This window comes from Homo sapiens, chromosome 5 (assembly GCF_000001405.40).
Source record: "Homo sapiens chromosome 5, GRCh38.p14 Primary Assembly".
Classification (NCBI taxonomy): Eukaryota; Metazoa; Chordata; class Mammalia; order Primates; family Hominidae; genus Homo; species Homo sapiens.
In genome coordinates this window covers 150,506,547-150,529,538 of record NC_000005.10, presented here as the reverse complement: position 1 = coordinate 150,529,538, position 22,992 = coordinate 150,506,547, and the positions used below count along the sequence as shown (strand labels likewise).

Genomic DNA, 22,992 nt, shown 5'->3' with positions numbered 1-22,992 from the left:
AAACTGTATTTTAAAGATTGTTTAATGGTCTTAATTTGTAGGCTGTTTCTCACAATGACAGTTCACATGTGTGTAAAATCTTGTGGTCTGCAAAGTACTTTTACACAGTTTTGTTTAGTAAAAACTTTTTTTTTTTTTTTTTTTTTTTGAGACAGGGTCTTGCTCTGTGGCCCAGGCTGGAATGCCATGCACAGTCATGGCTCACTGCAGCCTCAACCTCCCAAGCTCAAGCAATCCTCCTGCCTCAGCCTCCCAGATAGCTAGGACTACAGGACTACTACCACCACACCCAGCTAATGTTTTATTTTTTGTAGAGACAAGGTCTCCTTATGTTGCTCAAGCTGGTCTCAAACTCCTGGGCTCAAGCAATCCTCCTCCCTTGGCTTCTCAAAGTGCTGGGATTACAAGCACAAGCCACCACACCCGGCCAGCAAACCTTTTTTGAATTAAACACATGCATTCCACTGTCTACTTACACCTCAGTTAAAATCTGCCTCATGCATGATTCAAGCTCTCATCCTTATTTTAAGAGTTTTGTAGGCGCTCTGACATTAACATAAACATTTTTAAGAGTTAAAAATCATATTTAAATTAAAGGCAGACAAACAGCATTGTACAGCTCCCATCTTTGTCTGGATGTCTTCTTCCATACATATTATACAAACTTAAACTCCACATTCCAGATGCAAAATTCCTCATATTCAATACTTCAATACAATAAAGTTTTATTTTTTTAATTTTTTTGAGACAGAGTCTTGCTCTGTCACCCAGGCTGGAGTGCAGTGGCACAATCTCGGCTCACTGCAACCTCCACCTCCTGGGTTCAAGCGATTCTCCTGCCTCAGCCTCCTGTGTAGCCAGGATGACAGGCATACGCCACCACACCTGGCTAATTTTTTTTTGTATTTTTAGTAGAGATGGGGTTTCGCTGTGTTGGCCAGGCTGGTCTCAAACTCCTGACCTCAAGTGATCCGCCTACCTCAGCCTCCCAAAGTGCTGGGATTACAGGTGTGAGCCACCACACCTGGCCAATGCTTCAATCAAGTTTTAAATGATACTTGCTTCTAATAAGACAATTAATAAGAACCAACTGGCAGGACAGGAAGCAGAGTGGGACTGTCTTTTAAGTAACTCCCAGCATAGGGGAGATGCAGACAGGGCACACCCACGATGGGGCACCTGAAGGCTGAAGCTTGCCAGGCCCCACCTGCCTTGCCCGGTCTAGCACCCCCGGCCATACCTTCACGTCCTCCACCTTCATGCGTGTGCCCTCCTTGCCCACGAAGATGTCATCAATGTCCACCAGGATGTAGCGGTCCAATGGCAGGGAGAGGCGCTTCCCCGTGAGGAAGGCCACGGCATCCACGAAGACAAGCTTGTGCAGCCAGAAGTTCAGGTTGTTGCCAAACAGCACGCGCTGGATGCCGTCGTGCAGGCCCAGGTCCTGGACCACAGTGGCGTGCAGTGCAGCATGCAGGCCGGCGTCTGCGCCCAGGTGTGGGATGGACTCAGACGAGCGCGTCTTGGCCAGCAGCACTGGCTCATAGGTGGAGTGATTTGACTGGAAAACCGTCCAGTCCTCGCCGGGGAGCACACCTTTCTCCACCTCGCTAGGTCGCGTCACGTAGAGCAGCGGGGACTTGGGGTTGATGCTGCAGTCCTTCAGGCCCAGGTTTGAGTGCAGGAACAGGGGGAAGCCCTTGAGCTGCGCACTCAGCAGGCTGTTCTCATTGGCCTGCAGTCAATGGAGGGCAGGAAGGGGAACAGAACTGTCACATCCAGAACCCCAAAGGACACAGTCTCTCACATGTGGACCATAACAGTGGTATCAATATTCACCAACATTCATGGAGGGCTCACCACCCTGGCCCTGCGCTCCACCCTGCACAATAATATACTCACAAACACACGACTCACTTACCAAAGCCAGGCACTAGGTGCTGTGCACTTTGCAGACAGGAATGCTGTTAATCCTCCAATGACCCCAGATGGAGACACTGCTCTCATACCCATTTTACACATAGCAGACGGAGGCCTAGAGAGGCTAAACCACATAGAAGAAAATCTAGCAGTTGAGAACATGAATCCTGCTAGACTGCCTGACTTTGGGCAAGTTATATCACCTCTCTGTGCCTCAGTTTCTGCTGTAAAATGTGGCTAAGAACAGAAAGTAACTCCAGGAGTGGTAGAGGATGATCAGTATCAATACCGGCAACGTGCTCAGAATAGGGCCTGTGGCATGACCAGAAACTGCTCATTCAGTCCTCACATCAGCCTGCGTATCCCACTTCACAGGTGTGAAAACCGAGGCTTGGAGGGGCATGCTGCCCTCAGTAGCACAGTGGTTGGGAGGAGCTATGAATCGCTGCCAAGAGGTCGAGCCCTAGCACCCACACACCTAACCATTAGGCGTGGTTGCCTGGGGTTTCCAAACTGCCTCTGGCCACGCAACCTTTTCTTCAGGAGACATCTTATGTGGATGCCAATGCAGATGTTCAAAGAGGAGGTTTCTGCTGGGGGTGCCCCATATGCCCCTAGCACCCCAGAGGCCACTCCCTCACTATGGTGCCTGCCCGGTCACTGCCATCAGTGGTGAAGTCTCTGCCTCCCTTCTCTCAAGGCATGTGGCTGCTCAGCTCCCTGGAAGTCTGAAGACAGTGTGCCCCAGTCCCCTCTTCCTTAGGCTCACAGCCCCTGTTCCTTCATGACCTTCCTCACCCTCTCAGCCACCTGCCCCTGAATATGGTACAATTTGTCCTTGTTCCTGTGCCAATTCCATTCCGTCTTCTTGGCCTGACAAACTCCTGCTCATAATTCACACCCAATGCATATACCCTCTTCTCTGCACTGGCCTCCCTGAGACCATGTTAAAGCCTCAGCTGCAGCATTTCTCACCTCAGCTGCAATATTATATTTTCAGCGTTCTATCTCCCACCAGCCTGCAACCCCTTAAGGTTAGGGGCTATGATGTTTCGCCTTTGGACCCCTAGTGCCCAGCTTGATACCCAGCAGGAACACACACAATTCAATGCAGAACTGGATTTTTAAAAGGAATAAAAGAGGAACAGCCAGCTCTCTAGTACCTGGCATAGATAGACGCTCAATACAGGTTTCATCTGTTCATTCCACAACTATTTGCTGTGTCAGGCACTGTTTTAAGTGCCAGTGATACAGTGAGAAAAACAAAGACATGGCCCCTGCTCTCATGAACCTTAAAATCAAGGAGGGAAGAGAGACATTCACTGAAATCACAGGAATAAATATAAAACTTCAGTGTGGCACATGCTACACAGAGGAGGTTCATATTTGTGGAACAGTAGATTACTGGGCACAGTTAGTGGGCTCAGGAGGTCTCCTGGAGAAAGGGACTTTTGAGCTAACATTTAAAGAACAAACAAGCACAAACAAAGGGAAAGGTAGAGGCCAAGAATAGCAAGTGCAAAGGCCCTGAGGTAGGACAGGCCTCAGCATGACCAAGGAATAGCAAGAAGACAGCAGAGTGACCAAGAGGGAAAGGAGGAGATGAGGCAGATAGGTCAGCTGGAGCCAGGCCTGCAGGGTGCTGGAGGATTGAAGCAGCAGCAGGAAGCCCTCAAAGACTCCATCAAAGGATGACAGGTTCTAATTTGCATTTTAAAAAGATCCATGTGGCTGCTGCCTGGAGAGTGAGTGGGGCAGGGCAAAGCAAAATGAGTTTGGAGGGGGAGATGGGGTCATGTGTGGGGCCCCCAGGAGAGCTGCTCAGGGAGCACACACAGGGGTGCGCAGGTCAGTGGCGGGGGCAGGGTAAAGTCTCAGCTGAGCCTGTGCCCGTTGCAGAGCTGTACCTGTCCAGAAGAGCGCCTTTCACTCATCTCCTCTAATTCCCAAAAAGGCTCTGCAGGGCCCTGGCCTTGTAAACCACATTAAGTAGCCTGCATGTGATTCTCCAAACATCAAGAGTACCTCCCCACCCTGTCCTGAGCCAGCCTGGGGTGCTGAGGCCCAGCGCACAGACCAGTCCTCAGCTACCTCCCCAACTCCAGGCTGCTCACGACTCCTAAGACAGCCCTGACCAAGGCTGGGAACTACTTGGGCTGTGTGGGGACAAAAGCGGTAGGGGCCAGAGACATTTCAGGCCTTGTCCATCGCCTGCTGAGGCCTGGGATGCCACACTGGACCGCGGGTGCTGAGGGATCCCATTTCAAAGTCCCGACCCTGAGCTGACTGCCAGGTGCTGGAGGCTCAGTCAGCTGCCCAGCCATCCAGGAAGGGAGGAAGCCAAGTCACTGATGGCCTATCCATTGGCAATGAAATGAACCAGGCAAGAAGGGAATAGAGGGCCTCAGCACCGAGAGGCTGGCCTCACTGCAGGCCTCACCCCACAGCAGTGGAAATCCCTCTTGCTCCTCACCACTGAGTACCCACTCCGGAGACACCAAGTCTTCCAATGGGGTCCCCCAGGCAGAGGGAGGAGGAGCCCTGATTCGGGAACGCAGAGGTGGAGGCCAAGCACAGACCTCACCATTACCTGGGGGACCTTGGGAATCCTACATCTCCTCTCTGAGCCTCAGGCTCCCTGTCAGCACATTTGCTCCTGTGGCTGGGTTAGAAACAACAAGCTTGACTGTCAGATCTTGGCTCTATGACTTACCACAGGTTGAGCATCTCTAATCTGAAAATCCAAAATGCTCCAAAATCCAAAACTTTTTGAGCACCAATGTGACCTCTAAAGGTCATGCTCAAAGGAAATGCTTATTGCAGCATTCTGGATTTCAGATTTTCAGACTAGGGATGCTCAACTGGTAAGTAGAATGCAAGCATTCCAAAATCTGAGACACTTACGGTCCCCAGCATTTCAGACAAGGGACACTCAACCTGTAGCTATGTCATTCGGGACAAGCCATTTAACTTTTTGAACCTCAGGTCCTTATCTGAAAATAAAGTGCCTACTTCACAGGATAGCTGTGAGAATTAGCCATGAAATGCCTGCAAAGCACCGAGCTCAGTGACTGGGACACAGTAAGTGCTCAATGAAAGAGGTCAGGTACTCCTTGCCAGACCCCTGCCAGGGTGTGTTTAGCCCCAGGTCACCTGGAATTTCAAGGTTGAGGCACGACAGTGCCAGGAAGTAGGGATCCAGATGAGGATGACCCTATTCCCACCACCCTCCAGGATCTCACAGGGGCACACATTGGTCAGGGCCACAAGACGGACACAGTGCTACCACTGCTGTTTACTGAACCTGGAGATGACAAAGCACGATAGCTACCATCTATTGAGTGGCTCCGGTACCAGGCAATGGGCTCAGTGCTCCCCACCCACTGTCTTGTTTTCAACACAGACCAGTGAGGCAGCAGCTGTAATTAGCCCCACTTTGCAGATGAGTTGAGCATTTTACCCAAGTCACTCTGTTTCTAAATGACAGAGAGATTTGAACCTGTCTGGACTTTTAAGTCCCTGCTCTCACACTGCCCTGGGAATCCAGCATCAGTGGGAACTGGAAAATGAGTTTTCAGATCCCTGGAGCCCACAGACAATCCCCACTTGGCAAGCCCAGCACACAGCGGGGAAGTTGGTCTTGCAGAAAGAGTGGAAAGATGTGCCTTGACCACCAGAGGGCATGCATTTGAGCAGAAAATCACAGGCCTCTGCTCAAAACCAAGGATAGTCTTGTCCTAGGCAACAGGGTAGGAAGAGCACCAAGTCCTGGAATTACCACTGGCCCCACGATGAGACTCTGAACATGCCCGCACCCCTCCCTAGGCCTCCTGTTTACCTTCTGCAGAGCAAGGAATTGGGGCCAGACAGCGCCCAAGCTCCATTGTACCAATTACGCCCAATGGCCACAGCCCACCGCCTGGTCCCCAAAGACTGTGGGAGCTCTGTGCACTGGGTGTGGCCTCTGATGTCACTTCTCCTGAATAAGTGGTATGTGAGGCTCCTGGACTCATCACATCGTGGTTAAGACTAAGGCCTCTGGGGCCGGACTGCTTGAGTTCAAATCCCAGACCTATACTCATCAGAGGCGTAGGCTTGGACACATTGCTTATCCTCCTTTGCCTCAGTTTCCTCCTATCTTAAATCAGGCTGCTAGCCACCTGCCTTCGTGTGAAGTGCGTGAATCTGCACAACGCATGTAGACGGTGCATGGCACTGAGTGAGCACTCAATAAACGTCAGCCTCTTGACGCTTTTCAGGCCTGGGACTCTGAATAGAACTTAACGAAGTTCATGGCAGGAAAGGGTACAGAGTCCAAGAGAAAAGAGACAACCAGACAATGGAGATAATCTGACTTGATGTCATTGTAAAGCCATAAACCAGGCCAGCGTTCCCCTGAGGGTGCTCTGTAAAAGAAAGGGTTTTGTGATCAAGCCAGTTGAGAACAAATCTCACTGGTTGCTCTACTGCAGGACTTCTAAGGGCCTTCAAATTCTTGGCTCACAATACCTTTCAGTGGCAGAGCTTCCTGCTGTATTAGGGTGTGAAAGAACACGCCATGAGAAGCCCTCCAGGAGACAGGGCCCAGTGCGCAAGTGCACCAGGAAGGCCTGGCACAAACGGGCACCCAGCAGCGGACACAGGCCACTTCTGACCCATCTCCCGCTCCTCCTCTCCTGGCTCACACCAAGCAAGAGGCTGCTTTAGGACTCGTGCACTTAACGTCCCTTCTTCCTGGAAGACTCTTTGCACAGAAAGCCACATGGCTCCTCCCCTCATTTATTTCAGGTCACTTTATCAAAGACGACTTTCCTAAAATAATGTCAAGCTCCCACCCCCACTACCCTCTGTGTCCTTTCCCTGCTTTGTTTCTTTTTGTACTGATCACACCTGCCCCATCCTGTGTTTATTTGCTCACTGCCTGTCACCCACCCACTCCCAAAGCACTGAAATGCCAGCTCCATGACAGCAGGGACTTTGTCCACTTCGATCACCGCTAGCACAGGACCACAAACACTGTGAGTGCTCAGTAAATATTTGTTGAATGAAGGAACAAATTCCCTGCCACCTCCAAAGCATCCAACTAAGAGTCCCAGCTAGTGTCTGCTTTCATCTTGCAGGTCAGACTTCTCTGACCACAGCCTCTGGATCCCCCGCCCACCATTCCCAACCTCCCCCCGCCAAGGACAGATTCTCTGGGACACCCTTCCTGCAAGGACCCCAATCCCGGCGGTCATTCTGGAAGCCCCATAAAGCCCAGAGCAGCTCCCCATCTGCCAGTGGGATTTCATTCTCCTCTTTCTCCTCATGCAAAATGGCTCTGGGTCAGGAGGTATATTAACGCCATACTCCACCACCACCAAGAGGGAAGAGCATGGGATAGAGAGCCCAAACTGTCTATGTCTAGGTTCAAATCTCGGCTTCTCCACTTACAGGCTGCAAAACCTCACATAAGTAACTTAACACCCGGAGCCTTGGTTTGCTCATCTGAAAAATGGGTGCACACGCCCTCCCTAGGGGAGATTGCCTTGACAGATTTTGGGGCACCTAGCAGAGCATGCTCCTCTGACTTCACACTTACTCTGTGGCCTCCTTTAGGCAAGCACCTGCTGTGTGCTGGACCCCACGCACAGCAGGCGATCCCCCTGGCACGCTCCCCTAATACTTACAAAGCACTTGCCAGGCAGTGGGCACCGCATGCTCCCAGTGCTTTACATATACTCACTCATTTAACCCTCCCAACAACCCCAGGAGGCGGGTGCTACCATTACACCTATTTCACAAATGAGAATTCAGGCACTGAGCTGCAGAGGGGGCTCTGAACTGCTCGGGGACCCTGCTTCTTGTGTACCTTGAAGAAGCCAATGATGCCCACGCCGTAGGCCACACAGTACTTGTCCAGCAGCTCCCGGTTCCAGGCGTCCAGGTTGACATACTTGAGGATGTTCTCATAGATGATGAGGGCGAAGCGGCCACGGCCCTTGTCAGTGAGCGTGGGCATGTCACCCTTGCCCGGCGCAATCTCTGTGCGGTATTTGAAGCGGCTGGACTCCAGGATGGCCACCACCTCCTGGCCCAGTTGCGAGTAGAGGCTCTCCACAAAGACCAGCACCAACGGGTCTGTGCGGGAAGGGGTGGCTGCCTGCACAGGCTTGAGTGGCAGCAGGCGACTGGGGGCCACAGGCGGCGGGTCCCCGCAGTCAGGCTCGGGGGCATCCGCCGAGGGCTCCAGGCCTCGCTTCCAGCCATATAGGTAGTAGGCCGAGATGAAAACGCTGAACAGGCAGAAGATGAACAGCAGGAAAAGGACAGCCTGCGGGGACACGTGCCGACACAGCCTCCGGAGGCATGCCAGGGCAGGCATCCTGGCCTCCGAGACCTTGGCCACCGGAGGCCCGGCCTGCCCTGGCTACCCCAAGGCCCCACACAGGAGGAGACACGAGAATCGTCCACTGACCAACAAATTCACAGAGACTTAGGAAGCGACGCCCTTGTGGGGCACTGGGAGTGGAGGATCTGGGCCCCCAGTCCTTCCTCCCAGCCAGGGGCGCAGTCCACAGGCTGGTCACGCTCCTTCCTTCCTCCGCGCCCCTTTATGTCACCATGGCAAACCCCCGCGTGGTCCTGTGCAGAGCAGAAGTGCCCCAGGGCGTCAGGGCCTTCTGGGGGTGCAGGGCAGCAGGCCAGAGGACACTGGACAGGCCCGGGGGTGCTGCATGCCGCTCACTCCGTGGGGCCCACGGGGCTAAGGCTGTGGAGAGTGGAGAGAACAGGAGCGTCAGAGTGCGGGCTTCAGGGTTCAGCTAACTGTGGACACACAGGAGCTGACCTAGGAATGCCCAAATGCAAGTACGGCTGCCGAACCAAGGTTGCATGATTTGGAGCAAGCTCTTTAATATCTCTGAGCCCCAGTTTCCCTACTTGTAAAATGGGGCAGACAATAAATAATATGAACCCATCTCATAAGGGGTTGGAGGATTAAGTCCAACAACGTTTGTAAACGACTTAAAGCAGTACCTAGCATATGGTATCTACAAATTGGAGTTGCTATTTTTGATCATTATCAGAGTCCAAGACTAGGCCAAGAAAAATCCAGGAGCAGGACGGATGGGGAGAGATGATAAACATTTGCACAGCCTGGGAACTAGAGGTAGAATTCTAAATCACGACTGAATACCACATCCTCACCATATTCCATTCCCTTCCTAACCCGTTGCTCTCTTTGAATGAGCCCAGCAGCCCCATATGATAGATGAAAAGACTGAGTCTCCATCAGTCTTTTCATTCTGAAGACTCAGAATGAAGCCAAGCCAGGATTCATTAGCAGGCTGCAGGGCATGTGTGCCTTAGCTGTGTGAGAAGGCCTCAGGTGACCATTACACCTTTAAAGCATCAGTGAGCTAATCTGTAACACCAGCACCCCTGTAGCTCATGGCTGTAGCTGAGCGTTAAGTAAATATGTCTGAGGAGCTTGGCACAAGAAACATGGCAGCTGTCATATTTGCCCATAATGCAACCAGGTATCTCTCATCCTCGGGGTACGTACCCACAGGTGCACACAGCAGCCCAGGACAACAGATGACCAAATAGCCTTCCTGAGGATCGCCATACTGCCACCACAGGATGCAGAGGGGAGGCCTCCCCCGCCCTGGACCTTCTGTCCACCCAGGCAGCCATAACTCTGGGTTCCAGCCTCCCCCTCAGCCTGAACCCCCCGCACCGCCTGCACCCAGGCCACGCCTCCTATACTCATCTCACTGGAAAGAGTTAACGAAGACGTACATACACGACACAAAGGCCCCAATTGTCTCATCCCAAACAGCAACCCCAAACACAGTCTACCAGTCTCCCTTAAATAGTAATGAAGTCACAAGAAGTGAGATTTCCCAGCAACCCAAGGAGCAACTTTCTTTTCTTCTTACTTTTTTTTTTTGAGGCGGAGTTTCACTCTTGTTGCCCAGGCTAGACAATGGTGCAATCTCGGCTCGCTGCCACCTCCGCCTCCCCAGTTTAAGTGATTCTCCTGCCTCAGCCTCCTGGGTAGCTGGGATTACAGGCATGAGCCACCATGCCAGTAGAGATGGGGTTTCTCCATGTTGATCAGGCTGGCCTTGAACTCCTGACCTCAGGTGATTCGCCGGCCTTGGCCTCCCAAAGTGCTGGGATTATAGGCATGAACCACCACGCCTGGCCCCCAAGGAGCAACTATCAGTCACAGCAGCTCAAAGCTAGAAGGAGAGTTGCCCAGGTCTAGATGGAAGGTGTAAGAGCCAGGGCTAAAGAGGCCAGGGGGGAATTCAAGGCTTGGGCCCAGCCTAGAGGGTAAAGATCTTTGAAATCCCTTCCAGCTCCAAGACTATATGATGTGCTCAGCATGGGTACAGCATGCTCCAGACCCGACAGCTGCACTTCCAGGAATTTATCCTAGAGGTATTACTGCAGAAGTGTGTAAAGATTTTTCCACAAGAACACAAATCCTAGTGCTGCTTATAACAGCAAATCCCAAACAATGGGAGATTGTATTTAGGAATTATAACACAAGGGTCGGGCGTGGTGGCTCATGCTTGTAATCCCAGAACTTTGGGAGGCCGAGGTGGGTGGATCACTTGAGGTCAGGAGTTCAAGACCAGCCTGGGCAACATGGTGAGACCTCATCTCTACTAAAAATACAAAAACTAGTCGGGCGTGGTGACACACACCTGTAGTCCCAGCTACCCAGGAGGCTGAGGCAGGGGAATCACTTGAACCTGGGAGGCGGAGGGTGCAGTGAGCCGAGATCACGTCACTGCACTGCAGCCTGGGCGACAGAGCGAGACTCTATCTAAAAAAAAAAAAGCAATTATAATACAAGCATATGATGAAATCCTAGGCAGCCATTTACAATATGTTGGAGAAGGACATGTACTGACATAGAAATATAATTACCGTATGTATTGTCAAAGTCAAAAACATTTATAAAACAGTTTGTACGTGCGGTCATAATTTAGTTAAATATTTTTGTGCATAGGCTAGAAACTGGTGCTAAATGCAAAAAAAGAAACATTAACAGTGATTATCTCTGGGTGATTTTTATTTCCGCTTTTTGTTTGTGAAATGAGGAGGTGACTGGGACAACAGGTCTGGTCTCAGCTCTGCCATGATGCACTGTGTGGCTCCCTCTGGGCTTCCTGCATGTTACAAGGGGGTTGGGGCAGGTGATCTCCGGGGGCTCCTTCACCTCTGATATTCTACATTTCAGTGCCAGTACCCTGAGGAACCAGAGGCAGCCAAGAAAATAGGCATCTGCAATGCAGGGGGATAAGTGTGACAGACGGGGATGGGATGGGGGTTTGGGAGAGCTCAGGGGTCCTTAACTCTTCTGGCAGGGGGAAGGAGGGGACAGGGAAGGCTTCCTGGAGGAAGGGTACCTAAGCTGACCAGAAGAAAAAGTAAGGGTTGGGCAGGGGTAGACAGAGGAAATGGCACATACCACAGCTTGGAGATAAGAGCATGTGTGGCACTTTCCAGGGACTCCCTGCAATTCTAGCTGAGAGCAGGGCAAGAAGGAGCAGGTGTCCTGGGCAGAGCCAGGAAGGCTGGGGTGACTGGTCCTGTTTACACTCAGGGTACCCAGGTGTCCCATTTACCATTGATAAGGGCAGCCTGTGGCCGCAGCCCAGCCCCACCCCTTGGCCTAGGGCCAGGACAGAAGCACAGTGGATAGGAGGTGGGGATGCCCTGATGGCGCCCTGCCCACGTTGGCCACCCAATCCCATGGAAGCGGAGGAGAGCAGCCACCAGCCACTCCTCGCAGGCTTGAGTGCTGTGGTCAGTGACCCTCTATCAGATTAACAATCTTTCAGAGTGTGAATGATGCAGCTCAGAGTCTCAGGAATGTGGGAGCCACGAAACCCTGTGGGAATCTGACATTTTTCAGACATAAAAAATATGCGCATTAAAAAAATGCACACGGTTGCCAGAGGTTGGGGGTTGAGAGTATGAATCAGCGGAGCAAAGAAAATTTTTTTGGCAGTGAAACTACTGTGTATGAGACGACGATGGTAGATACATGTCATTATACATTTGTCCAAACCCACAGAATGCATACTACCAGAGGTGAACCCGAAAGTAAACTATGGACTCTGGGTGATAAGGATGTGTCAATGCAGGGTCATCTGTTGCAACAAATTTACCACTCTGGGTTGGGCACAGTGGCTCACACCTGCAGTCCCCTGACCCTGGGAGGTCGAGGCAGGAGGATCACTTAAGGCCAGGAGTTCAAGACCAGCCTGGGCAATATAGCAAGACCCCCATCTCTACAAAAAAAAAAAAAAATGAGCCAGGTGTCAGGGCATGTGCCTGTAGACCCAGCTACTCAGGAGGATCACTTGGGCCCCTGAGGTCAAGGCTACAGTGGCCATAATTGTGCCACTGCATTCCAGCCTGAGCGACAGAGCGAGACCCCATCTCAAAAAAAAGAAAAGTACCACTGTGGTGGGGGATGTTGATAATGGGGGAAGCTGTGTGTGTGTGCAGGGGAAGAAGGCATATGGGAAATATCTGTATCTTCCTTTCAATTTTGCTGTGAATGTAAAACTAAAAATCTAAACAATAAAGCCATACACACACACACACACACACACACACACACACACACACACACTAGAAAATGTCATAATGGTGTGGTGGCTCACGCCTGTCATCCCAGCACTTTGGGAGGCCGAGGTGGGCAGATCACTTAAGGTCAGGAGTTCAAGACCGGCCTGACCAACATGGTGAAACCCCATCTCCACTAAAAATACAAAAATTAGCTAGGCATGGTAGCAGGCACCTGTAATTCCAGCTACTCGGGAGGCTGAGGCAAGAGAATCACTTGAACCCAGGAGGCAGAGGCTGCAGTAAGGTGAGATCACATCACCGTACTCCAGCCTGGGCAATAGAGCGAGACTCTGTCTCAAAAAAATATATATCATAATAATTTCAAGGAGTTCAGAGCCTCCCTGCCACCCATCCACAGACCTAAAGTCCTAGATTGATGGACCCTACTGGTTACACGTGCAGACTGGAGCCAAGTGGCTTCGATTCAAAACTAAGCTCCACCATTTAGTAGCTATGTAATCTTGGGCAAGTTATTTAACTTCTCAGTGCCTCAGTTTCCTAGCATGTAAAATGGAAATTCTACCTACTTCCCAAGGTTGTGAACATTAAATGAGTTGATACATAAGATGCTCAGAACCACGCCTGGCACACAGCTGCTGTTATCACGCACCCCTGTTGCTTATTTAACATACTTATGACAATCCCTCACGATGTGGATCACAGCTTAGCTCACGAAGCACTTTCAAGCTCATCCCTCTCTTGAGAGTCTGACAGCCCCAGGACTCAGGCAGGGGAGGGCAGCTCATTTCACAGAGGGAGAGCAAGGGCTGAGGCAGGCAGGCACCACACACACTTATTACACAGAGGGCCAGGCAGCCAGGGCTGCCGTCCTCCTCTCACAGCATGTCTGAAAAGTAGCCCTATCTTTGGAGGCTGTGGCCCTTACTGGGAGCTGGCTGGCTGCCTGGATAGAAGCCAAGAAGCTGAAGATAAGGCCATGGCAAAACCCAGGGCAGAGGGAGAGCAAGGTAGCCCCTGTCCTCAGAGAAGGCCAAATACCCTGGGGTGGGGGTGGGTGGGGGGAAGCCAGTTGCTTTGTAGCAAAGTGCCAGCCACTCAGCCGGCTGGCAAAGGGGGCTTCCAGCACAGCCCCTCTGCAACCCACTCAGAGGCTGCCACCCTCCACCCAAGGCCCTCCTCACCCGCCTGCACTCCAGAACTCCCGTGGCTCAAGAGGTAAGTAACTGAGGGGCTTCTAGTCCCCCTGCAGCCACCAAGGCCTCAAGGACAGCTGGGGCTGAGGCCTCAATGACCCCCACCACCCTGGGCCTGCTGGGCCTTGCAGACATCACCAGCAGTTTCCCCTAAATTCCAGCCTCACCCAGCCAGTCACCAATCTCGGGGAAGCATTGAGGCTTTTGCTGATGAAATTCCCATTGCCTGGAATGCCTCCCCGGACCCCTTGGGACACTTACTCATCTTTCAAGATCCAGGTTCCAAAGTCATGACCCCTCTGAAGTCATCACCAACCACTGCCCCCTCTCCCACTCCTAAGTCTCATTCCTCAGGCTCCCGCCTCATCCCCACTCCACGGTGCAGAGGCTGAAAACCAGGACCCTGGAGCCCAAACAAAATGCAGACTGTGCTCTTTGGCTTGCACAGTATTTTTCTTTAATTTGGGATTCGTTAGCAACATTTTTAAATCAGGAGATTTTATATAAAAGTCAGAACTTCTAACTTGTCTCTAAAGAGGGCAAGTTCTGGTGACACTGGGCACACATCCTCACCTGCCACCATCAGCTGAGGCACTTAGAGTGCCAGCCTCAAATGGGCTGTGTATCCTGCAGTTAACACCATCAGCATCTCTATGTACAGTCTCACAGCCAACCTCTTTCCTTCATCTGGCTTCCTGCCCAGCCCCTGGGTGCACCTGAGCATGTGGTCTGTGCAGAGTAAACTGGGGGCATTCCTGCACATGGCTCTACCTCCTGTAGCCTGCAGATCTGTGGGGCAGGACCAGGGCTTACTGACCTCTGCACAGGCCCTCACCAGCACCCGGCACACACAGCCCTCAGCACAAAACAGTGTCCTTTCTTCCTCCTCCCCCAGTGCCCGGGTGCCACTCAAGGGCAGGAACCAAGTCTGATTCATCGTGGAAGCTCCCACTTTTCCCAGGGTCAGGTCCTTATTGAATACTCAGGATATGAATGAATGAGCAGCTGTTATTATTTCCAATTTACAGATAAGGAGACAAAGACTTCAAGGTGAAGTGACTTGCCACAGTCACATGGAAACCACCAAATCTTGACTCAAATGGGTTTCCTTCCTGACTTTGAGTTTGGTCTTTCATTCCTCCCTGAAACCCAAGGGTTCCTACAATAAAAATAACACCAACAACATTATAATTATCATCATTATGAATACTGCCATACTATGAGCCTGGCACTGTGCTAAGCACTTTTTTTTTTTTTTTTTTTTTTGAGACGGAGTCTCACTCTGTCACCCAGGCTGGAGTGCAATGGCACTATCTTGGCTCACTGCAACCTCCGCCTCCCAGGTTCAAGCAATTTTCCCACCTCAGCCTCCCGAGTAGCTGGGATTACAAGCACCCACCATCATTCCCGGCTAATTTTTGTAGATATGCGGTTTTGCCATGTTGGCCAGGCTGGTCTTGAACTCCTGACCTCCGATGATCCACCCACTTCGGCTTCCCAAAGTGCTAGGATTACAGGCGTGAGCCACCACGCCCAGCCAGCACTTTTTATACCTCATTTCATGTAATCCTTACAACTAATATTGTTATCCACATTTACAGTTGAGTAAAATAAGGCTCAGAGAGGTTGTCACTTGCCCAACATCACACAACTGTTCAGTGGCAGAGCTGAAATGTGAACCCAGAACCCATGGGTGGGAGATAACTCCAGAGCCTGCAGAGGAACCTTGGCTTGGGGTAGGCAGGGGCATGAGGGGAACCTCAGCCACAAAGGCCAGTGGCCCACAGCCCTCAGCCAGGCTCCCACTGCACTCCCCTAGCCCTAGTCCCAGCTTTCCCTGCCAAGGTGCTGAGGATAATGAATGAGATGCTCTGGTCGTCATGGAGACGCCATGGCAACGCTGCACTTTCGGGAAATACCACGGTAACCGTGGCCACTGCTCTGGAGTTGAAGTCACTCTATCTAACATCCCCACCTGAAAATGCTGCCCCGGACCCATAAGAGAAAAGGGGCAGAGGTACAAGGGCCTTCTTACAGGAGCAAGCTGTCCAGAGACTGGGACCAGGGAAGGGGGTCCGGCTTGGGCCTGTGATGAATGGGTGGGCTCCAGGAATGAGACCAAGAGCTCCATAAAAGCAGGTATGGAGACTGAGCAAGCCATGCCTTTCATGGTGAATTGTGCCCAGTAACCCAACTCACATGTACACCATGCCTACTGTGCGCCAGCAGGCCTCCTTAGAAGGGCTGTGCACACCCTTCTATTTCACTCTAGTGGTGACAGCTAGCATAACAGTTAAAGGCCGAGACTGGAGCTAGCCTGCCTGAGCTTGAATCTTTGAATCTTTTCTTTCTTTTTTTAAGAGTCTTGCTCTGTTGCCCAGGATCACTCCAGCCTTCCCCTCCTGGGTTCAAGCTTCGAGCGATTTTCGAGCCTCAGCCTCCTGAGTAGTGGGGATTACAGGCACCTGCCACCATGCCCAGCTAATTTTTGTATTTTTAGTAGAGACGGGGTTTCGCCATGTTGCCCAGGCTGGTCTCGAACTCCTGACCTCAAGTGATCCACCTGCCTCGGCCTCCCAAAGTGCTGGGATTATAGACGTGAGCCACTGTGCCCAGCATATTTTCATTTTTTGAGACAGTGTCTTTCTCTGTTGCCCAGGCTGGAGTGCAGGGGCACAATCACACTTACTGCAGCCTCAACTTCCCACGCTCAAGTGATCCTCCTACCTCAGTCTCCCAAGCAGCTAGGACCACAGGTGTGTGCCACCATGCCCAGCTAATTTTTTAATACAGACAAGGTATCCCTATGTTGCCTAGGCTGGTCTTGAACTCCTGGTCTCAAGCAATCCTCCTGCCTTGGCTTCCCAAAGTGCTGGGATTACAGGTAATTCCCGGGTGCAGTGGCTCCCAGCTGGGGCTTGAATGTTGGCTCCATTATTTACCAGCCTCATGACCTTTGAGCAAATCTCTCAACCTCTCTGAACCTCAGTTTCACTAAATCTAAAATGGGGTTTATACTACTTATCTATCTTGCAGGGCAGCTACCAAGACAAAGAGAGATGAGGCATGTAAAACACTGAGCTCAGTGCCTGGCACATGGTAATATAAGCTAATAAAATGATTACTCAGTAACAGATTTGGAAAGTGAGGCTCAGGAAGGAACTGGCCCAAGGCCACATATCAAATTAGTAGTGAATTGAGAAAGAGAGAGGAAGGGAGGCCAGGCTGACGCCAGAGGGAAGGAGCAAGAGAATGGGATCCAGGAAGGAGGTTCGAGATCTTTCTGGGAGTGCGGAACAAGCAAACGACCTGTTTCCTCATCCTGTATTTACTGAGCACCACTAGGTGCCAAGCATGCCACTAGGCACTGAAAATGCAGTGGCGACCATGACCTTTCCACAAGGGTTTCTAGAGGTCTCTGGAACCCAAGGTTTTATGTCTCTGGTACGACATGGCTGCAGTGAATGGGGGAAGGTGCCCAGGGCCTTGAATGCTCACCCAGCCCACATTTTATTTCCAGCCTAGGTCACTCTTGACAATGCCCTCTGTGGACCACACACTGCTCCCTGCCCCCCCAACACACACACCACATTCACATGCACATGACAGGCTCAAATGGCATCATCATAGGCATCTGGGCCACATGCACATGGGGTGGGGGCTGAGAGGAGGTCAGTGCAGAAAGAGCTCTGCCAGCAACCTCAGAAGGATGTGAATGGGTGGGTACCTGGACTTGGGCAGGGACCTGAGCAGGGGAGGGCGTAGCAGTGGCTGCAGGCCTGGGGAACAGGTAGCCCCACATGCACCCAGGGCCACTCCCCATAGCTGATCCAGCCCCTCCCAGCCAGTCACACCCCCAGCACAGTCACATCATCACCCCCACCCAGCCACACCCCACAGCTTCCCAGCTCCACCAGCCACCCTACCACAGCCTGCCCCACCCACCACATCCAGCTCAGCAAGGAAAATCCTCCACATTTGCTTCCCAGCTGTGCGGGAGTTTCTCCAGCGTGATTACATCCCTGGGAGGCCGAGACCAGAAGCAAATCCCTTCCTCTGCTGGAATCTGCTACATGCCCCATCCCCCATCACCCCCACAGTGCTGCCTGGCCAGGAGCCAAGCTGCCGCCTGTCAGTCACCCCAGAGTCCAGGACCACCACCACCGGGAAAGAGACTGTTGGAGGTCTGGCTCAGAGTCGCAGGGCCACAGAGAGCACAGTCTACCCTGCAGTAAGCCCCTGGGGACACTGAGACCCAGAGAGAGGAAAGGACCTCCTGGCTTGTGCCGTCTGGTGTGCCCCACTCTCATTTACCTTGGTCCATTTTCTTGTCCATTAAAACCCTGTCCCTCCTCCTCCAATGCCAGCCTCAGCAGGGAGGTGAACAAGCCTGCTCTGGATTTCTAAAGTCCTGATTGAGCTCCCCTGCTCCACATCCCACCACGCAACACCAGGTATCAGTTGTTCTTGCAACTAGAACATGGGGCTCCCAACTTCACTGAAAGCTTTCCAAGGCACAAGCCATCTCCTACCCACAGCAGGTACTCAAGAGCCTTGTGCCCTTGCCAATTACCTTCCCCTCTGTGAATCTGCTACGCGGCATCTCCAAGCTAAATGCATTAATAACATTAACTTCCATTTATGAGACATGCCATGTCTGCGTTACATGCCATTATTTCAACCTTACCACAGCACCATGACCTAGATTCCCCCCATTATACGGATGAGAAACTGAGGTCCAAAGAGGCCAGTCACTTGCTGCAGCCCACAGAGCTAATAAGGGGGTGAATGGGAACTTCAGCACACAGCTGCTGGGCTCCAGAGCCTGGGCCCCTCATCCCCCATCTCCGCAGCCCCTCTGTGATCACCTAAGACAGCTAACATTTGCCAGATGCCCTGCACATCCCTTTCTCCATTCCTTTTCAATAGTTTTCTGTCTGTGTTTGTTTTCATCCATTTTATATGTGTTTTAGTATCACAAGCAGCCTCTAGTGATCTTTCTTGGAAGTAGCTCACAGATCATCCGTCAATCAACAAGGAAACAAAGCATTAAGCACTACTGGTTCACTCCCTGGTTCTCAACTTGTGAATCTGTTCTGGGTTCCCTGGCAGGGAAGGCCCAACAGAAAACCTCAGGAACTTAGACCTCACTTGTTGAGAATGTGTCCTTCTTCCAACAGGGCCTGAGTTGCGAGTTTACCTTTGTACCAGCTCTGAAAAAAAGGGCTTACCGAGCAAACATACCAGACAGCCTGGGGGTGGGGCTGTGTGGGGAACACGGCAGGTCACCTGCCACCCTCCCGTCCCAAGGACGGGACAGTCCTGACAGTCCCACTGAGGCTCTTCACGCACACCAAGGCTGTCAGGTCCATCACACAGAATGTTATGCAGTGGCCACAAATCTTCCCAAAATGGGGCTCTCTGCCCACCCTATCCCCAAATCTGCCTATGACAGAGTCAAATCCATCCAGAACTATTTTTTCCTTAGGCTCAGATCACAGACACTCAAAAGGAACAAAGCAGCATATCCCAACACATATCATAACCTCCCTTACTGGCGGCCAACGTTAAGCTCCTGCGAACATGTGGGGCTGTGCCAGGAGCCTTACCTGCTCCATCACGCTCAATCCTAACACCCTGAAAGAGGTGTCACTGCTATGAGCACTTTACAGACAAGGAAATGGAGGCTCAGAGAGGGTAAGCAACCGCTCGAAGTCACACAGCTGGGCAGAGGTGGAGCTAGGATGCCCCTCCCAGCCCACCCCACAGCCCCTGTTCGTTACCCTTCTGCAGTCCTACTTTCCACACCACTCCCAAGCCAGGTCTGCAGCCCAGGAGAGAGGCTTCCTGGAGGTGACCAGGCCCAGGGCTGCTGACCCAGCTTCTCTAGCTGAGCTTCAGCCTCCTGGGAAAGCCTGCACTGCAGAGAGGTGCACCATGGAACCCAGCAAGGCAGGACTTCAGCCAGAGGGTCCTCACGCCCCCATCAGACACCCCAATATAAGAAAGGGGGATGGCGGCTCGGGGCAGTGGCCCCTGCCTGTAATCCCAGCACTTTGGGAGGCTGAGGCGGGTAGATCACAAGGTCCTGAGATCGAGACCATCCTGGCTAACACGGTGAAACCCCATCTCTACTAACAATACAAAATTAGCCAGGTGTGTGGCACATGCCTGTAATCCCAGCAACTCCAGAGGCTGAGGCAGGAGAATCGCTTGAACCTGGGAGGCGGAGATTACAGTGAGCCGAGATGGCGCCATTGCACTCTAGCCTGAGCGAAACTCCATCTCAAAAAAAATAAAGAAAGGGGGGCCACCTCCTGCCCCAGGCAGAGGCCTCATGCTAAGGAAGAGGCAGGAGCGAGGGTCAGAAGCAGGAGATCTCAGCTAGCAGGGCACCGCAAAGGACAATGGTGAGCACCTCGCCTCACGGCCTGGCATGTGCCAGGCGCTCTACCAAGCACTTCCCAACCCTCACTTCATTTATTTGTCATTTATGCCCAGTGAAGTAAAAACAATTTTATCACACCCTGAGCTTCTCCCCTATCTGCCTCCCCTGCAGAGGAGCTGGGAAATGTGGGTCACCACTAGCCCCCACCCTCCCGCATGCCCGACTCCAGGCCTCAGATACACCCTGAGAGATTCCAAGGCACAGGCAGACTCAGGGGCCTCCATCTCAAGGATGCAGAAGCCAAAATCCATGCGGGCCTGGAAACCACAACAGCCTCCCAGTCCTTCCCTCCCAGTCATCCCCTTCCTCTCATCAGGGGATGAGAGGTCATTGTCCCCTGAATGAGCCAAGCTTCCCCAGCTTGTAAGGTCAGGCAGAATGCTGGCAGGAAGACAGAGGCAGGGGGTGCCACAGCCTCCATTGCCGCCTGTGAGTCTCTGGGCAAGTCCCTTCCCTTCTCTGAGCCTCAGTTTCTGCAACTGCAGTGAGGGGTATGGACTAGAGGAGAAGTCTGTGACCTTCTGGGGGTTATAGAACCCTTTGAGAATCTAATGATGGCTATTAGCAGATTCTCTCCCCAGACACACAAATTCAGAGTGGTTGTGACTGGCCCCCATCAAAAGCCAAGTTAAGAACATGGAAATTCTCTAGGGGCCCCTCTGGCTTTGACAAGCCATGGCTCTCACAGTCTAGACAGGACCAAAGCCACAAACACAACATCTGAGAGCCCTGGGATCTCACCATTTCAGCTTCCCCCGTGGCCCTGAAATAAATCTTTAAACTCTTGGACCTGCTGGCTTCAGGTGGATTTGTGGACATGCCTAGCTGTCTGGAGAAGCCACAGGAGAAACTGAGCCCTTCCTTCCCATCCCTCAGCCTCCTCCTCCTTCTCCTCCATCAGGAATCTGCCAGGTCAGCCTAGACCTCTCCCTGGGGCAGTTCCGGGAGCTGCTTCTGATCTGGAATGAAGGCAGGACCCAGTGCCAGGCTCAAGTGCCAGCCTGTACCCCCAGATCCCTCCTGGGGACACACACACACACACACACACACACACACTCAGATGGACCTGGAAGGACTGGACAGGGCAGGGGGCCAGGGACAGTGGTCAGAGTGGACAGGAGCCAGCGAGACAATGACCAGACCCAGACCCACCGGAGCTCCAGGCAGTGGCGTGAGGTTCCTCTTCACTTCGCCACGCCCTCTCGAATGTCCTCTCCTTAACACGGCTGCACCTAATCCCAGGGCCAGGAAAAATGGCATTACTGTTGGCCCAGTCCCCTCCCCAGGAGAAAGGGAAGGCAGAAGCAAGGGAGGGAGGTGGCCCTAGAGCACCCTGCGCCACCAACCACGTTCCTAGAAACCTCCACGCCCCTTCATGCCACCTCCCTTGTCAAGGCCTCCAGCCCCTACCTCCTTAACCTCAGAAAGAGGATGTCCTCCTCCGATTCTGCCCCGTGCCCAGGGAACCACTGGCACCTCGCCTGCCTCACCCAAGCCCTGCCTGGAGGAGCCTTCCACGGGAAAGGAAAAAGCATGTCCCTGACCCTCATGCTAGTGGGTCTTCTGACCCTCTCAAGAGAGGTAGCAGCCAACAGCAGGAGGAGCACTCACTGGCAATAAGGATAACTGGGTCCTGGTTCCAGCCCTGGCCCTTCCCCCTCCAGACCTCAGTTTCCCCACCTGTCCTGAGAAGAAGAGGAAGGACTGGTATGCCCAGCTGGAGGGAAAAGTGTCTATGATGCTGGCTTTTGGCCCCTGGCCCCACCCAGCTCAGCTGCCAGGCCCTTCCCTGTGCCCCACCCTGCAGAGAAGGAAGAAAGGTGACCGGCAAAGGTGTGGAGGGTGTAAGAATCCATGCTGGAGCCTCAAAGTGCTAGAGCTGAAAAGGGTCTTACAAAGACGAGACCCAGAGAAGAGAAGCAACTTGGCCACGGTCACACAGAACACTGGAAAAGGGCCAGGCTGGCCAGGGCTTGCTTCTTGACAGCAAATGCTTAAAAGCACCCAGCTGAAAAGGTATTTGCCTTCTTAGAGGATGCCAAGGAGAGCACAAGGCAACCTGACAACAGTAGAACTGCAGGCTCTGAGAGCTGCAGTTAAAAAAAAAAAAAAGGTATGTTTATACGTGGGGCTTAAGGATGGAGGTTGGGCTGGCTTTCCAGGCTCCTCATGTCACACCACGTGGGTGGCCAAGGGTCCTGCCAGCCACAGGGAAATCCTAGGAGCCCCTTCCAGGGATTAGCAGCTTTGGCCACCTCTCAAGAAGTCACCTAAGGCCCAGCAGGCAGGCCCAGCAGTGGTGACAGAAAGAATGGCTCAGATGGACACTCCAAGACTAGCCCACTCTGGAAGATGCCAGAGCCTTGGAGAGACTGAAAATCCCCCAAGCCCCGTGGCCAGTGAGGACGGAAGCCAGGTGGGCTAGGGATAACACAGAGGAAGGGAAAAGCTTTGAGCCATCTGGAGCCACAGAAGCCCCCTAATCTCCTAGAGGCCTGGTGGGTACAACACAGGGCCTGCTGAGACCAAGGAGGCTTCACCGAGGGCCCACATGAAAGCAGCCAGTCCCTGTAGACTTGCTGGGGCTTGTCATCACGACAAAAGCTGGCCACCAACACGCCTTGGGGTGTTAAGGGACTCAAAGTACTTACATGGAGGCGCAGCTGGCAGGGGGAGGGGGCAGAAGGTGGGGAGAGGTGGGGGCAAGTGGGCCCGGCTTTCTCTAGGACACAGACAACAGCTAGAGAACAGAAACGTGGAGCAAAAAGCACTGGGTGACCTACTTCACAGAGGCTCCTTTTAAAGAGGAATAGGAGGCCTCAGCGAGACTCT

General features: G+C 52.5%; 1 protein-coding gene across 2 annotated transcripts in view, besides 5 other annotated features; it reads right to left on the bottom strand.

Annotated features, from left to right (window-relative positions):
* Window positions 1-22,992, bottom strand: part of NDST1 (N-deacetylase and N-sulfotransferase 1) — a 60,433-nt gene that overhangs the window by 28,673 nt on the left and 8,768 nt on the right. The window contains exons 1-3 of one of the 2 annotated variants that reach the window (NM_001543.5): window positions 21,313-21,408; window positions 7,772-8,671; window positions 1,241-1,735 (exon numbers count right to left, since the gene is read on the bottom strand). In NM_001543.5, coding sequence (NP_001534.1) covers window positions 1,241-1,735; window positions 7,772-8,284 — 1,008 coding nt within the window. In that variant the 5' untranslated portion in view covers window positions 8,285-8,671; window positions 21,313-21,408. Of the gene's footprint in view, window positions 1-1,240; window positions 1,736-7,771; window positions 8,672-21,312; window positions 21,409-22,992 lie in introns of those variants that run through there. The other variant, NM_001301063.2, reaches the window with a different exon arrangement.
* Window positions 3,262-4,002: an enhancer, noted in NCBI's record as "NANOG-H3K27ac-H3K4me1 hESC enhancer chr5:149905099-149905839 (GRCh37/hg19 assembly coordinates)". NCBI's record gives its function as "activates a minimal SCP1, AML or CMV promoter by ChIP-STARR-seq in naive H9 embryonic stem cells {active_cell/tissue: H9 hESC(naive)}" and the evidence as "EXISTENCE:reporter gene assay evidence [ECO:0000049][PMID:30033119]".
* Window positions 6,159-7,036: an enhancer, noted in NCBI's record as "H3K4me1 hESC enhancer chr5:149902065-149902942 (GRCh37/hg19 assembly coordinates)". NCBI's record gives its function as "activates a minimal SCP1, AML or CMV promoter by ChIP-STARR-seq in naive H9 embryonic stem cells {active_cell/tissue: H9 hESC(naive)}" and the evidence as "EXISTENCE:reporter gene assay evidence [ECO:0000049][PMID:30033119]".
* Window positions 16,896-17,549: an enhancer, noted in NCBI's record as "H3K27ac-H3K4me1 hESC enhancer chr5:149891552-149892205 (GRCh37/hg19 assembly coordinates)". NCBI's record gives its function as "activates a minimal SCP1, AML or CMV promoter by ChIP-STARR-seq in naive H9 embryonic stem cells {active_cell/tissue: H9 hESC(naive)}" and the evidence as "EXISTENCE:reporter gene assay evidence [ECO:0000049][PMID:30033119]".
* Window positions 17,638-17,932: a silencer, noted in NCBI's record as "tiled region #361; K562 Repressive non-DNase unmatched - State 8:EnhW". NCBI's record gives its function as "represses a minimal TATA promoter and a strong SV40 promoter by Sharpr-MPRA in K562 cells {active_cell/tissue: K562}" and the evidence as "EXISTENCE:reporter gene assay evidence [ECO:0000049][PMID:27701403]".
* Window positions 18,851-19,424: an enhancer, noted in NCBI's record as "H3K4me1 hESC enhancer chr5:149889677-149890250 (GRCh37/hg19 assembly coordinates)". NCBI's record gives its function as "activates a minimal SCP1, AML or CMV promoter by ChIP-STARR-seq in naive H9 embryonic stem cells {active_cell/tissue: H9 hESC(naive)}" and the evidence as "EXISTENCE:reporter gene assay evidence [ECO:0000049][PMID:30033119]".